Below are 17,068 nucleotides of genomic sequence, written 5' to 3'. Positions count from 1 at the left end.
TTATGAAAACCAACATTTTGTCTATTTCGCTATTTATCCTTGTTGAAATCTTGAGAGAACTTTGCGCTATGTTTATTCTTTATTTAAAATCTCAAGCTTTCATTCTATTATTTCTTTCTCTTAGGGAGAAAGAGGCCAAGAAGGAAGACCGGGAGCTCCAGGACCCATTGGAGTTGGTGAGCCTGGACAGCCAGTAAGTAGCAAAAATTCTAGATGGAATGAAAAGGACAAATATAGTTTTTACTTGTTCTTTCTGTTTAGGATAAATGGTCAGATTAATCCACCTTGTATCTATTTTATTTATTTATTTTTTTGAGACGGAATCTCACTGTCACCCAGGCTGGAATGCAGTGGCATGATCTCGGCTCACTGCAACCACCACCTCCTGGGTGCAAGTGATTCTCCTGCCTCAGCCTCTAATTAGCTGGGACTACAAGTGCACGTCACCAGGCCCAGCTAATGTTTTTTGTATTTTTAGTAGAGACGGTGTTTTGCCATGTTGGCCAGGCTCATCTCGAACTCCTGAGCTGAGGTGATTCACCCACCTCAGCCTCCCAACCACCTTGCATCTTTACGAGCAACAAATGAAAATAAATATGCGAGAACCAGATCCACGTGCTATTTTTCACAACACTTGAAATAGAACTATGTATATATGTATATGTGTAAATATATATGATGTTTACACCAACTCTCTTTTACTGTAACTTCTTACAAGATGAATCAACTTGAACAAGAAGAAAAGAGTTCTCATGTGTTAAAATTTTCTAGGAAGATCTGGACTCAAGCCTAATGTTTATACTTTATAATGGATTTCTTTGTAACCATGAGAAAAATCACTGAGAATAAGGACTTGGCTCATTATCTAATCCATGAGTATGCTCTAAAGCTAGGATTGATAATGGTAGACAGATAATACCTGCGTTATTCACAGCATCTCTTTTATGTAGTTTTGAAGTTTACTGTTGTTGGAGAAGAAAAAAATTTCTACTAAAAGACATTTGGAGAGGAAGTGAATAAAATATGATTATTCTGGTATATAAAGCTTGTTAACTTTTCAAGTAATCATTATTCTCCTAGGGAAAAATAGTAGCTGACTCACTTAGGTACAAATAAAAACAACTGATTGTGGATAGCTGGTCTTTGAAGTTGTCTTTGCACTGCATAGTTCCTCACATGTGTATATTCACAGAAACATACACTTCCTTACTGCACTCTGTGAGTGAAATGGCAACATATTATTTAGGTTTAGGCTTTTCACTAATGTCTGAACATACTAATTCAAAAAAGAGAGCATTATATGGAAGAAAAATACACTGGACTAATCATCTAGAGATCAGTGATCTAGTCTTAGTTTCCACTAAATAGATAGTACCATTAAAGATAAACCACTAACTTATTTTGGTCTCTATTTTGGTTTTGTGTTTCTGCTTAACAAACTTCCTCAGGACTAAGTGCCTTAAAACAATAATTTGTTATTCCTTATGATTTTGCGGGTTGACATGAGAGTTCTTTATAACTTGAAGTCAGATGGAGTGCTAAAATGGCTGCAATGTTAAAAATGGCCTCACATGGCTGGCAGTTTGGTGCAGGTTGTTGTCTGGGAGCTTAGCTAGGGTTGTTGCCCAGAGACCTCATTTCTCCTCCACATGGGCAGCTACAGTGGTTGCTTGGGCTTCCTCACAACATGGCAGCTTGAATCCAAGCAGGAGTGTTCCAATAGGCAGAAACCACTCATCATGTAAAGCTTAGCCTCAGAAATTATACAGCATCATTTCTGTGACATCTAAAGTAAGTATAGGACCAGCTCAGATTCGAGTGGAATAGAAAAAGATTTTGCCCGCTTATGAAGAATATCAAAGAACTTGTGGATGTATTTAATTTAGCGAAGTCTCAAATTTTAACTTCTATAAAATTAAAAGATTGGGTTCTCCTTAGGTCTATGATTTTCAGAGCTGGAAATATTCTGAAAATGTCAAAGAAATAAGTCATAATTAATTTTTTTTAAGAGAGTCTTGCTCTGTCGCCCAGGCTGGAGGGCAGAGGCATGATCTCGGCTCACTGCAGCCTCTGCCTCCCAGGTTCACATGATTCTCCTGCCTCAGCCTCCCGAGTAGCTGGGATTACAGGTGCCCGCCACCATGCCTGGCTAATTTTTGTAGTTTTTGTAGAGACAGGGTTTCACCATATTGGCCAGGCTGGTCTCGAACTCCTGACCTCAGGTGATGAACCCACCTCTGCCTCCCAAAGTAATGGGATTACAAGCGTGAGCCACTGTGCCCCGCGTAAAAAATTTTTAAATATAGATTGATGATTGTTTTTTCCAAAGAACTTTGTGCTTTGCTATTATTTATACCTTCCAAACTCAGCACTAAACTTAAGAATGAGTGTCACTTATTCATTGTCGTTCTTAAAATGTTTTTTTTTAAATAATGAAATATTTTAAGCATATTGGAAAATATAGAGAATGAGTTGGTAAACCTCCGCCAGGTAGACAATTATACTTAGTACATTTACTACTCTTGCTTTAGATTTTCTTTAAAAAACATAAAACATTATGGATACAGTAAAGTCTCCCTATCTTTTTCAGACAATAGAAGAGGAAGAAACGTTTATCAACTTAATTTATGAGGCCAGTTTTCCCCTGATACCAAAACAAAATACTAAACATACATAAGAAGAAAACTACAGACCAATATCCCTTGTGAATATAGACATAAAAATTCTTAACAACATGCTAGCTAATAGAATTCAGCAATATATAAAAAGAATTATACAGCATGACTAAGTGGGGTTTATCCTGTGGATGCAAGCCTGGCTTAATAATTGAAAATTAATCAATGGAATACACCATATTAATAGGCTAAAGAAGAAAGATCACATGATCACATCAAAAGACACAGGAAAGCATTTGGCAAAACTCAAAACCCTAATAAACGCTGATAAATCTCTCATAGAAACTCTCAGAAAGCTATAAATAGAGGAGGAACTTCCTCAATTTCTATGAGAAATCTAGAGCTAACATTATGCGTAATAGTGAAAGAGTGAATGCATCCCTCTAAGATCAGGAACAAGACAAAGATGTCTGCTCTCATCAGTCTTATTCAACATATTGGAAGTTCCAGCCAGCACGATAAGACAAGAAAAAGAAATATAAGGCATTGGTATAAAAACAATAAATAAAACTATCCTTATTTGCAGATGATATGATGGCCTCCATAGAAAACCCCAAGAAATCTATACAAAAACCTCCTAGAATTAACAAGTGAGTTCAGCAAGGTCACAGGGTACAATATCAACATACAAAATCTATTTAATTTCTGTATACTAGTAATGAACACATAGAAACTAAAATTAAAAGCACAACACCATTTTTAATTGCTAAAAAAGAAAATACTTGGGTAGAAATCTAATAAGACACATATAGGGCTTGTATAAAACTACAAAACACTGATGAAAGAAATCAGAGAATACTTAATACATTTAGAGGCATGTTTACAGATTAGAAGACTCAACAACATAAAGATGTAAATTCTTCCCAAATTGATGTAAAAGTTTAGTGCAAATGTTTTTGATACCCCAGCAAGATTTTGTTTAGACTTGGACAGGGCTATTTTAAAATTAATATGGAAAGGCAAAAGAGCTAGAATAGCTTTTAAAAAACTTGAAAAAGAATACACTTGGAGAAATTATACTAACTTTTCTGGTCTTAAGATTTATTATATAGGTACAGTAACAATGACTGTGTGGTATTGGCAAATTATAGAAATATGATCAGTGGAACAGAATAGAGACCCCAGATTCAGACCTACACAAGTATAGTCAACAGATTGTGAAAGCAATCCAATAGAGGAAACATAGTCTTTTTAACAAATGGTGCTGGCGCAATTGGTTATCTGTGCAAACACAAAAAATTAACCTCAATTTAAGTCTCACACCTTATACAAAAAGTAACTCAAAATGGATCATAGATTTAAATATAAAATGTAAAAACTATAAAACTTTTAGAATAAAACATATGAGAAAATCTTTAGGATCGTGGGCTTGATGAAGATTTCTTAGACATGTCACCAAAAACATGATCCCCCCCTAAAAAGTAATTAACTGGACTTCATCAAAGTGGTAAATGTGTGCTCTGTGAAAGACTCTGTTAAGGGTATAAAGAGACAAGCTGCTGATTGGGAGAAAATATTCACAAACTACACATTTACAAAGGATTTGTATTGGGAATACATTTTTAAAAAAAATTCTCAAAACTCAATAATAAAAATCGAATTAGAAATTGGGCAAAATATCAAATATATATACATATCTCAAGCATATATACACACACATGCACAACTTGGTATGTATATATCTATATATGTGTACATATACTTGTATATATTTTTACATATTTTGTTTCTTTTTTTGTGGTTACTAAACTTTAATATGTGTTCTTTTTATTAACTTTTATTTGAGGTTCAGGGGTACATTTGCAGGTTTGTTATATAGGTAAATTGCATGTCACAGGGGTTTGGTGTAGAGATTATTTCATCATCCAAATAAGAAGCATAGTACCTGATAGGCAATTTATCCATCCTCACCCTTTTCTCACCCTCCACCTTCAAGTGGGCCCCAGTGTCTGCTGTTCCCTTCTTTGTGTCCTTGTGTTCTCAGTATTTAGCTCCCACTTATAGGTAAGAACATGCAGTATTTGGATTTCTGAGTTAGTTTGCCAAGGATAAGCGCTTCTAGCTCCATCCATGTTGCTGCAAAGGACATGATCTCATTCTTTCTTATGGCTGTGCAATATTTCATGGTGTATATATACCATATTTTCTTTATCCAGTCTACTATTGATGGGCATTTAGGTTGATTCCTAACATGTTTTCTTGACTAACAAGTTTGAAATGTCATCAATATTGCCACCTACTCCTGAAAAATATACTGACCATATGACACTTTTACTTCAATCATTTCTTCCACCTTCAGAGTATCATTCCTATTGACTTAGTTCTACTTTATTTTCATCCTACCAAAATTATTTATTATTATTTTTGAACTTTTTTAAGTCAGTATTTGTATAGTTTTACCCATATATTTACCCATTTCTTAGTTGACATAGCTTCCTAAATTTCTCTTTTCTTCTTGGCTGATTTCTTTGTTTTTTTCAATAAATACTTCTTTCAGAAGATGTTTTCAGTAAAAATATGTTAGCAGTAAACCCTTTCAGCCTTTGGTTGAAATGCCATTGTTTAGTTTGCTTTGTAAGAATAGTTTAGCTGGTGCAGTCTGGATTGTGTACTAATTCCATTGTCTGCTGGCAACCATGGTTTCTGTTTCCATGTCTTTAGTCTGTTTATAATTTCTTGTAGTAATTCATTTTTGCTTTAGGCTGCTTTTGCAATTTTTTTTTATTCTTTAGATTTCCTGTAGAGGAATTATGATGCATATAAATGTGAGTATATTTTCACATATACTTTTTCAGATTTACCGTTTCATGAATCTGAGGACTCCATAGTTTAAAAAAGTTCTTAGCTATTATTTCTTCAAATATTTTCTTGCCCCATTCTATTTATCAAGAAATCCTACTAGATATTTGGTTGCAATTGGATAATTTTCTCAAATCTAACTTATAACCCACAAATTTATCTTCATCATGTTATAAAATGTTCTTAACTCATTCATTGTATTTTTAAGTTAATAAGTATTTTAAAAATTCTTAGTTATTTTTTAAAATCTGCCTTTTATTAACTATATTTATTATCTTTTTACTATACTGTTCTTGTATTTTCCATTATTTCCATAAGACCATTAAGTATTTAAAGTACTTCTTTTTTGTCTCTATTATTTTATTCTATTATTTGACATTCTTGAGGAAGTTTACGTTGTGTTAGTTTACTTTTATTCATTGTGAGTTATTTTCTTTTATGTTTTGTACTTTTCCATCTGAGTTATTTTCAGCTGGGCTTTAATTGTGAATCCTAAGCATTCTTAGGATTTGAGAGGAGTTTGTGTTTGTATCTCTTTTGTACTCCAGGGGTTTCCTTGATGCTAATGTCTTGACTAAGGTGTTCATGAACCACTTAGATAATGTCAATTGAAATCATAAACTCATACACAGCACAGGACCATGGTAGAAATTTTTAGTCATTATGAGCCCAAGCCAAGCAGACAAGATTCTTGTCATTCATACCACTGTGTTGATGGGATGGCTTTTTTCTACTTTGTTCTTTCATTGAATATATACAGATGCTCCTTGACATACAATGGAGTTACATCCTACTATACCCGTCATAAATAAAAAATACTGTAAGTTGAAAATGCATTTAGTGTTGGTAACACCGAAGATGGTTCCCAACTTACAATGGTTTGATTTATATATATATTTTTACTTTATGAGGATGCAAACGCAATGCATTCAGTAGAAACCATAAGCCCATTGTAAGTCATAAGGAGGTACTTGACTTACCATGGGGTTACATGCTGACCAACCCATTGTAAAATCCAAAAATCTTAAGTCGAACCATCCCATCTTAAGTTGGAGACTGTCTGTCTAAGTTTGTGGGAATCTCAGTCTCTCAGTTATAATTCTGTCTTCATTTTCCATTGCGTGAGCCAAAGTCTTTGCTGCTGTTCCTCCCTCTAAATTTCCTAGCCTTCTTCCCACCACACAAACACACTTTTCTATTCAGGACAGCTGTAGCACCAGCTTAGATGCTTACCTAAGATGCTTAACTTATATGCTAGAGTTCTCGAGTTTTGATTCTCTCTTTTTGAACCCTGCAATTTCTCTTATCTTCTTTGGACTCTTCCATGCCTTTAAAATTCATCTTAAAAAACGTATATTACCTGTCTTTCTAACTGTTTGTAGTTGAGAGTTTTTAACAATATTACCAGAACATGAAATTCTTGCTTGCTTGCTTGCTTTCCAAGTCATAATTACAGAGTTATACTTAATTGGGAACTAAAATCATAACAAAGGTAGGAAAGTTCCTAAATAATGTATCAAAATGTTGCACCAAAATGTCATTATAAAAAAATCAATGATGTGAATTTTTTTTTTTTTTTTCTGAGACAGAGTCTCACTCTTGTCCCCCAGGCTGGAGCACAATTGGGCGATCTTGGCTCATTGCAACCTCCACCTCCCGGCTTCAAGCGATTCTCCTGCCTCACCCTCCCAAGTAGTTGGGACTGTAGGCTCCAGCCACCAGACCTGGCTAATTTTTGTATTTTTAATAGAGATGGGTTTTCACCATGTTGGCCAGGCTGATCTCGAACTCCTGACCTCAGGTAATCCGCCCACCTCAGCGTCCTGAAGTGCTGGGATTACAGGCCTGAGCCACCATGCTCAGCCAACAATGTGAATTTTTGAATTATTTAGAAGTAAGGTAAAGACTTATCTTAGGGCTGACAAAGATTCTACTGAAAGTCCTTTGCTTTTGTTTCTTTGCCTGAATTATTTCAAGTGTTTCGTATTTAGTACTACTCTCTTTTCACTACCACACTAATATAAATCTGCTGATAGATTGAATTAATATTCTAGCTCCGAGACCTACTTTTGAACTGTCATCTGTCATCTTTATGTGATTACCACTAGTTTTGTGCTGGTCTGGTAGATGTAACTGATTCATAAAAATTAAATTGGTTAAGACTGTCAGGGTGATCTGTTTGTTTTTTATGCAAGGTTATTCAGAGCACTGTAAATTAAAAAAAAAACCCTGAAAGGGAACTATAATTATTTTGAGATTAAAAAATAAAGTAGATGGCACTGTTTGAAGATAATGGACAGTTACTATTATTATTAGCATATTTATCTCTAATGCTTGCAATGCATATTGAAAGCATTTGTATTGATTATTAACACTATTGAGATTACTACGGAAAGTAATAAGATGAACATAATGGACAATCGTATTTCATCTCATCGTTAATGTCTCAGATAAAGCATTTCACTGATCAGGCTGTGTTAACTGATAATTAGATTCCTTCATTATTTATTTTTTATTAGAGGTGTTCGTTAGAAGCCAAGTAAGTATGTCGTAGTTGTAATTGGTTCTCATGGCCTTAGAAAGGACACTGAGATTTTTTAATAGAAGGATTTCTGTCTTTTAAAAATAATCTTTTGGTACTATCTTAATAAATTAAACTATAACCATTTAACCCAAGTACCTTCTACTTCTCTTCTCTGGCTAATGATCATCGTCCATGCTGAGTGTTTAACTGGAAGACTTGAGAATATACTGATGGCGTGGAATACTACTCTGATGGTTTATAGTAATTACACTTTGGATCACTGCTTTTTTCTCCTAAAAGACTGTCCATGAGCATTAACTCTCCGTTCTCAGCAGCTTTGAATACTTGGCTCCTTAAAGATCCAATATTTTCACCTCCAGTTTAGCTAACGTACTCTAGAAGTGCAGAGAATGAAGGAAGATTCAGTGTTTATTCAGTGCAGCATGCTTTTTACACATTGTTTAATTTAAATCATTCACTCAGAGACTGCTTTTATTTGTAAAAACTTCCATGAAAGGACATTCTTAGCAATTACAGGACTCAAGTAAAATAATTTGGATAATGATGGCAGATATTTATTGAGTGCTTAATCTGTAAAAGATTTAAATCTCTCTGACTTAATCCTTACATGAACACTTGTGGTTGAGGTAGATACTATTATTATCAACCATTTTGAGGAGGATGTTGTGCTTTGCAGAGATTGACTTACTTGTTTAAGGTGAAACTGCTACTATGTAGCAGAGCTGGGGCTTGAACCTCAGTACAAATGACACCAAAATCTGCTTTTAACTATTATGCAATATTGTCAGCTCCATGAGACAGGGAGCAGTTTTGTCTGCTATCCCTAGAACCTAGCACAATGCCGTTTACCTGCTAGAAGTTTGGTATATCTTTGTTGGATGAATGAAAAAAGTTGAGTGAACTGGAAAAATACTTCCTTACATTTAATATAAATTGTGTTTTTTTTCATTTGTCATATTATTAGGGAAAAAATAATTTGTCAGTGTTTTCTTTGTTAAAGTATGTGTTTTCTTTGTTAAAGTATGTGATGTTGGCTTGGCACTTTTGGTTTAGTTTGCAATCTATTAATAATTTGGTTGAGTTTGCAATCTATTAATAATTTTCATGCTCCTATTTATTTTCCTACTAGCTAATTGCTCTGCCCGTACAATAAACTGTCATGGATATTAGTGCTTTCATTAAGGTCTTGGAAGTGTTAAAAGCTAGGTTTCTGTTAAGTGTTACAATTTAAATTGAAAAAGATGTTAGCTTTTTCTTTTAATTATTTACAAAATCAGTATGCATAAATACTAAAGAAGATTGTCTTGTAAAATATAAAACATTAGGGAAAGACAAAAAAATTAAACACTGAAAAACAGATCTTTTTCTTATGAATCTATAACTATGATCAGTCACTGATGAGTATAATGCTGCATCCTCGTTCTGCTACTGGGCTTGAGGAGAAAAGCGTCTTAAATCACCCTGGATTACTGTATCTCAAGCCCAAACATCATTCAGTGTCTGTAGTGTGCTGGTTTAGGAACTTGCAGGAAAGTTGGCAGACTTTGTTCCATCATAGGTTTATTTCTCTGGCAAGTGAAGCCTAATTATTTGTTTAGATTCATCAGAGGAAAAGCTTCATTTTCTTCTTCTAAGATTCTTGTTGTAAGTTCCTTTACTACTTTTTTACCTTCTGGCCAAGAAGAAAAGGAGAGAAAAATTATTGTCTTTAAAAATTCCTGATTTAAATGAAAACCTCACTATTACTCTTTTATTTTTCCATTAGTACATTTTCTGCAAGTCCATTTCAAAGCCCGAGACTGTGTTTTTCTTAACTCATGTGAGAAGTCATCTTTCCTAGTGGCTTTTTGAGCAATAGTTACATGAACTTCTTAATTTGAATCATTGCAATTGAAAATCATGTTTCCCCTTAATGATCCTATCAAGATTTCAATTTGCATATAAAACTGCCTGTGGGTTCAACCAGTTCCTGAAATAATTCAAGTTTTAATCCAAATTTATCAGTACAGAAATTGAAACACATGTAAACAGCACTTAATGCTTTAAAACAGCTGTGTGATGATTTCTTCACAGCACTCCCCTGATAATTAAATTATTAAATCACTCTGCATCCTTCTCTGGGCCACACAGTTCCAGATTTTTAGCATTTCCTCAGATAATTTATTTCTTAATTCTTATTTCAAAGCATCATTTAATTTCCATTTTCTTCTACTTTGAGAACAGTGGAATAGAACATTTTATGCCAATCAAATGGAACGAGTATTTAATACAATGGGAGTATTATTCTTCGTAGCTCTACAATTCTACTGATCAGTATTGAGTTGACTAGAAGGATTCTCACTAAAAATTTAAACAGAGCCACAGTCATTAGCCATTCCTTGGTATTCATGGGGGATTGGTTTAAGGACCTCTGTAGACACCAAAATCCACAGATGCTCAAGTCCCTTGTATAAAATGGTGAGAGGTGACAGCGTGCTGGCAGCCCTCGCAGCCCTCACTTGCTCTTGGCGCCTCCTCAGCCTCGGTGCCCACTCTGGCCATGCTTGAGGAGCCCTTCAGCCCACCGCTGCACTGTGGGAGCCCCTTCCTGGGATGGCCGAGGGCTGAGCCGGCTCCCTCAGCCTGCGGGGAGGTGTGGAGGGAGAGGCACGGGTGGAACCAGGGCTGCCTGGCGCTTGCAGGCCAGCTAGAATTCCGGGTGGGCATGGGCTTGGCGGGCCCCGCACTTGGAGCAGCCGACTGGCCCTGCCGCCCCGGGCAGTGAGAGGCTTAGCACCCGCGCCAGCAGCTGCGGAGGGTGCACTGGGTCCCCCAGCAGTGCTGGCCCACCGGCAGTGCGCTCGATTTCTCACTTGGCCTTAGCTGCCTCTCCGCGGGGCAGGGCTTGGGACCTGCAGACTGCCATGCCTGAGTCTCCCCAACCCGCCGTGGGCTCCTGTGTGGCCTGAGCCTCCCCAAGGAGCACGGCCCCTGCTCCACAGCGCCTGGTGCCATCAACTGCCCAAGGGCTGAGGAGTGTGGGCGCAGGGCCTGGGACTGGCAGGCAGCTCCACCTGCGAGCCCATGCGAGATCCACTGGGTGAAGCCAGCTAGGCTCCTGGGTCTAGTGGGGACTTGGAGAACCTTTATGTCCGGCTAAGGGATTGTAAATACACCAATCAGCACTCTGTATCTAGCTCAAGGTTTGTAAACACACCAATCAGCACCCTGTGTCTAGCTCAGGGTTTGTGAATGCACCAATCAGCACTCTGTATCTAGTTAATCTGGTGGGGACTTGGAGCATCTTTATGTCTAGCTAAGGGATTTTGAATACACCAATCAGCACTCTGTATCTAGCTCAAGGTTTGTAAACACACCAATCAGCACTCTGTGTCTAGCTCAGGGTTTGTGAATGCACCAGTCGGCACTCTGTATCTAGTTAATGTGGTGGAGACTTGGAGAATCTTTATGTCTAGCTAAGGGATTGTGAATGCACCAATCGGCACTCTGTGTCTAGCTCAGGGTTTGTAAATGCGCCAATCAGCACTCTGTCTAGCTCAGGGTTTGTAAATATACCAATCGACACTCTGTATCTAGCTAATCTAGCTGGGAGGTGAAGAACTTTGGTGTCTAGCTCAGGGATTGTAAACGCACCAATCAGCACCCTGTCAAAACGGACCAATCAGCTCTCTGCAAAACAGACCAATCGGCTCTCTGTAAAATGGACCAATCAGCAGGAAGTGGGTGGGGCCAGATAATAGAATAAAAGCAGGCTGCCCTAGCCAGCAGAGGCAACCTGCTGGGGTCCGTTTCCATACCGTGGAAGCTTTGTTCTTTTGCTGTTTGCTGTATATCTTACTGCTGTTAACTGTTTGGGTCCACACTGCCTATATGAGCTGTAACATTCACTGCGAAGGTCTGCAGCTTCACTCCTGAAGCCAGCGAGACCACTAACCCACCAGAAAGAAGAAACTGGGAACACAACTGAACATCAGAAGGAACAAACTCTGGACGCGCTGCCTTTTAGAACTGTGACACTCACCGCGAGGGTCCGCGGCTTCATTCTTGAAGTCAGTGAGACCAAGAACCCACCAATTCCAGACACAATGGCATAGTATTTGCGTATAACCTATGCACATCTGGTATACTTTGAATCATCTCTAGATTAGTTACAATACCTAATACAATGTAAATGCTGTGTAAATAGTTATTATGCTATAGTATTTAGGAACTAATAAAGTAGAAAAAGCCTGTACATGTTTAGTACAGATCCAACTATCCATTTTTTTTTGGCATGTAAACTGAAATATAACCATTCTCTTTCTTCCTCTTTCCTCTTTTTCATCACTCCTCTTTCCCTTTTCTCTCTCCTCCTGCTCCTCATTTTCTCCTATCCTAACCAGGGTCCCCGTGGTCCTGAGGGAGTACCAGGAGAGAGGGGCTTACCCGGAGAAGGATTTCCAGGACCAAAGGTAACAATACCTTCTGTACCAGGAAAAGGTGCTTTGTCTTACATGCTCGTGAATTACAAATTTTAAAAATGTGTCCTAGCCAATTTTTAGAAGTTAATTATTTTTCTGACCATCTTTATTCCATTTAATGAAGGAATATGTAAATTTCCCTGTAATGCGAAAATACAGTAAAATTTGGAACTACAAATAAGTAATTGAAAGACTTCTACTTCATGTAATTACTACATATGAAATTAGAAAAATCTCTTAAAGTAGTTTGTAGTCATTTAAAGCCACAGTGATAAATAACATCCTTATGCCCAGAAGTTAAATCATCGAGTGTAGCTATGGCAATTCTTTGCTCACAGCTTTTTTCGTGAAACACAGATAAGAAACCAATCTGTAATAGTACTGCCATCAATATAATAAGAAAGAAAATTTTACTACAGAAACAAAATGTTATGAAAGACTTCCTTTTTAACTAGCCATTGAGAATTTCCTGTCATTTCCCTTATGTAATTCTTGGAGCTCAAGTTGTTCTGCACCAAAGGTTGGCAAACTTTTTCTGTAAAGGGGCAGATAGCAAATATTTTAGGCTTTGTGAGCCATATGGTATCTGCTGTAACTACTTAACTGCTGATGTAGCTTGAAAGCAGCCATAAACAATGTATAAATGAAGGAATGTGGCTGTTCCAATAAAACTATATTTATAATATAAAAACAGGCAGTGGGCTGAATTTGGCTTATGGGCTGTAGTTTGCTGTCCCCTGATATAGGCAGTTTGTATATAATCTTTGGCACATTTGCTGAAGGGCATGTTAAAAAGTGTTTTCCAAAATGAGCAGCATCAACAACATTTCAGAGTACGTAAAGATACATTTTGGAGTCCTTCTTCCTTTATTTCCAAAGTCTCCCCAAAAAACACACACATGCATATACACACATACTGCCCGGAGAAGTACATGCTGCTTTCTAAGTGTCTGAGACCCTCCACATCAGTCATTCCATCAGGTGACTAAGATATGGCCTTCTCAGTATGGCCTCATGCTCTAAAAGTGCATTTCATTCTCAGCTTCTTCCACCATGATCGATATTCAATTATCTATGAGAATCCTAAATCTCTACTAGAGGGAAAACAATTAGATAAAAACAAATAATTCATCCTTAGTTTTGAGTGACTGCTGGGTTAAATTTTAAAAGACGCCCTTGTTAATGAACACATTTTAATTTGTCATGATAATGGAAATAATATGTTGGATAAAGGGATATTACTAACACCTTTGACTAATCACAGTATCACTATCAGAAGACAGGTCAGCAACTTGGCATGACATCACCGAAAGTTTTGTAATACACAGTTTGAGATTTTTTTGGCACTTAGTAAATTTCTACTTCTATTTATGTGTAGCCCAAATAATCTGAAAAATTCAAATAGAATTATTTCTCTTTAAAATCTGTGTTTTTTAAAGAGAAAGAAATAAATGAGAAATGAATATGTGAAACATTAAGAAGAATATTCCAGGGTATTTCATAGTGACAGGTTCAACATACTTTTATATTATATGAGGTATTATCATACTTTATTGATACTCTTGTATGTAATAGCTCATGGGCATTGACCTCTATCTCATCAAAGAAAGAACACATCGTGTTCCGTGCTGCTTTAGGATCAAGTATATGCAGTTATATTCTGTGGTAATGATCAGAAGAACCCAGAATCAGAATATTTCATTCCCCAACTAGTCAGACCAATGGGTGTTCTCTGTATGTACTATTTGGGGCTAATTTGTAAATGTTCTTTGATTTTACTCTTGGTTCTAATAAATTTATTAAATGAATGCTGCTTCTGATTTATTATATGGTTTATTTTTCATAAAAATGCATGAAGTATTATGACAATATACGTTATATTAAGGACAGAGCTGTTCACTTACGTCATGTAACTGTAGGAGCATATCTAAGAAGATTTTCCATGAATTCTTTTAAACATAAATTTTCAATGAATGTTTATAAACAAAAAAAAAGGTAATAATCTAATCCTAGCAAGTATTAGTTCACATATTAGTACGAGAAATAAATTTTCCTTGTGTGATGGACCCAGTTTCAGCAATATTAAGGAAAAGGAGACTTGATCCAGTTAGTTATACTATGTGATTGATTAGGTGATCCATTTCCAGAATATTTTTGTTTAAATTGGGAACTGAGCTCTTTTCTAACTTCAGGGATGCTACATATGTGTTTTGCTTGGATAGCTTCCTTCTTGTTTAAGTGTTATGACTAATGTATTTTTTGCAAGTTGCAAATCTCAGAGTCAATTAGAATTACCCATTTGTAGTAAACAGTGACTTTGGATGCTTTATTTAAAAAATAATTTTGAAGCACAATTCATAGTATTTGTAATGTAAACTCTTTTAAAATTCAGATTTTGGTTGGTGCATTGATATCCCTCCCTTGTACTTTCAGGGTGAAAAAGGTTCTGAAGGACCAACTGGCCCACAGGGATTACAAGGCCTGTCAATCAAAGGGGAGAAGGTACTGTATAATAGGGTGTACACTGGAAACAATGCCAATAAAATTGTCATTGTTCTTTATGTATGTACATTTCTGAACTGTATACATGACAACCATGCCACACAGGTATCTGGTTAATTATAAATCTAGTATATTCTTTTTTTAAAATAATTATTTTATTTCCACAGGTTATTTGGGAACAGGTGGTGATAGGTTACATGAGTAAGTTCTTTAGTGGTGATTTGTGAGATTTTGGTGCACCCATCACCCAAGCAGTATACACTGAACCCAATTTGTGGTCTTTTATCCCTCACCCTCTTCCCACCCTTTTGCCCCGAGTCCTCAAAGTCCTCTGTGTCTTTCTTATGCCTTTGCGTCCTCATAACTTAGCTCCCACATATGAGTGAGAACATACAATGTTTTGTTTTCTATTTCTGAGTTACTTCACTTAGAATGATAGTCTCCAATCTCATTCAGGTCACTGCAAATGCCATTAATTCATTCCTTTTTATGACTGAGTAGTATTCCATCACATATATATATATATATATTCCATATATATATAGAGTATATAGTATATATATAGTATTCCATCATATATATAAAAACACACTATAATATATGTTATACTATATATACACTATATACACACTATATATACTGTATATATAGTATACAGTATATATATTCCATCATATATATAAACAAACACACACACTATATATGTAAACAAACACACACTATATATAAACACACACTATATATATAAACAAACACACACACTGTAATATATATATCATAGTTTCTTTATCCACTCATTGATTGATGGGCATTTGGGTTGGTTCCATGTTTTTGCATTTGCAAATTGTGCTGCTATAAACAGGTATGTGCAAGTATCTTTTTCGTATAATGACGACTTTTCCTCTGGGTAGATACCCAGTAGTGGGATTGCTGGATCAAATGATAGTTATACTTTTAATTCTGTAAGGAATCTCCACACTGTTTTCCATACTGGTTGTACTAGTTTACATTCCCACCAGCAAGGCAGAAGTGTTCCCTGTTCACTGCATCCGTGCCAACATCTATTATTTTTTGATTTCTTGATTATGGCCATTCTTGCAGGAGTAAGGTGGTATCACATTGTGGTTTTGATTTGCATTTCTCTGATCGTTAGTGATGTTGAGCATTTTTTCATGTTTGTTGGCCATTTGTATATCTTCTCGAGAATTGTGTATTCATGTCCTTAGCCCACTTTTTGATGGGATTATTTGTTTTTTTCTTGATAATTTGTTTGAGTTCATTGAAGATTCTGGATATTAGTCCTTTGTCAGGTGTATAGATTGTGAAGATTTTCTCCCATTCTGTGGGTTGTCTGTTTACTCTGCTAACCGTTCCTTTTGCTGTGCCTTTTGCTGTGAAAAAGCTTTTTAGTTTAATTAAGTCCCAGCTATTTATCTTTGTTTTTATTGCATTTGCTTTTGGATGCTTCATCATGAAATCCTTGCCTAAACCAATGTCTAGAAGAGTTTTTTCAATGTTATCTTCTAGAATTTTTATAGTTTCAGGTTTTAGATTTAAGTTCTTGATCCATCTTGAGCTGATTTTGTATAAGGTGAGAGATGAGGATCCGGTTTTATTCTTCTACATATGGCTTGCCAATTATTCCAGCTGAATTATTCCAGTTGAATAGGGTGTCCTTTCCCCACTATATGTTCTTGTTTGCTTTGTCAAAGATCAGTTGGCTGTAAGTATGATGGTTTATTTCTGGGTTCTTTATTCTGTTCCACTGGTCTATGTGCCTATTTTATACCAGTACCATGCTGTTTTGGTAACTATGGCCTTATAGTGTAGTTTGAAATCAGGTAATTGATGCCTCCAGATTTGTTCTTTTTGCTTAGTCTTGCTTTGGCTATGTGGGCTCTTTTTTGGTTGCATATGAATTTCAGAATTGTTTTTGTCTAATTCTGTGAAGAATGATGATGGTATTCTGATGGGAATTTCAATGAATTTGTGTATGGCTTTTGGCAGTATGGTCATTGTCACAATATTGATTCTACCTATCCATGAGCATGGGATGTGTTTGCATTTGTTTGTGTCATCTATGATTT

General features: G+C 36.2%; 1 protein-coding gene across 13 annotated transcripts in view; it reads left to right on the top strand.

Annotated features, from left to right (window-relative positions):
* The window catches only part of COL28A1 (collagen type XXVIII alpha 1 chain), a 205,677-nt gene that overhangs the window by 54,289 nt on the left and 134,320 nt on the right, over positions 1–17,068 (top strand). For 12 of the 13 annotated variants that reach the window (XR_926936.4, XM_011515360.3, XM_011515358.4 and 9 more), the window contains 3 exons: positions 125–193; positions 12,402–12,470; positions 14,913–14,981. Coding sequence is in view for 11 of the 13 variants with exons in the window: in XM_011515360.3 (XP_011513662.1) it covers positions 125–193; positions 12,402–12,470; positions 14,913–14,981 (207 nt within the window). In the remaining 2 variants the exon portion in view is untranslated. Of the gene's footprint in view, positions 1–124; positions 194–5,354; positions 5,441–12,401; positions 12,471–14,912; positions 14,982–17,068 lie in introns of those variants that run through there. The other variant, XM_011515362.2, reaches the window with a different exon arrangement.

Source organism: Homo sapiens, chromosome 7, assembly GCF_000001405.40.
Source record: "Homo sapiens chromosome 7, GRCh38.p14 Primary Assembly".
Lineage (NCBI taxonomy): Eukaryota > Metazoa > Chordata > Mammalia > Primates > Hominidae > Homo > Homo sapiens.
Note: the sequence above shows the minus strand (reverse complement) of the source record. Positions and strands in the feature narration are given on the sequence as shown.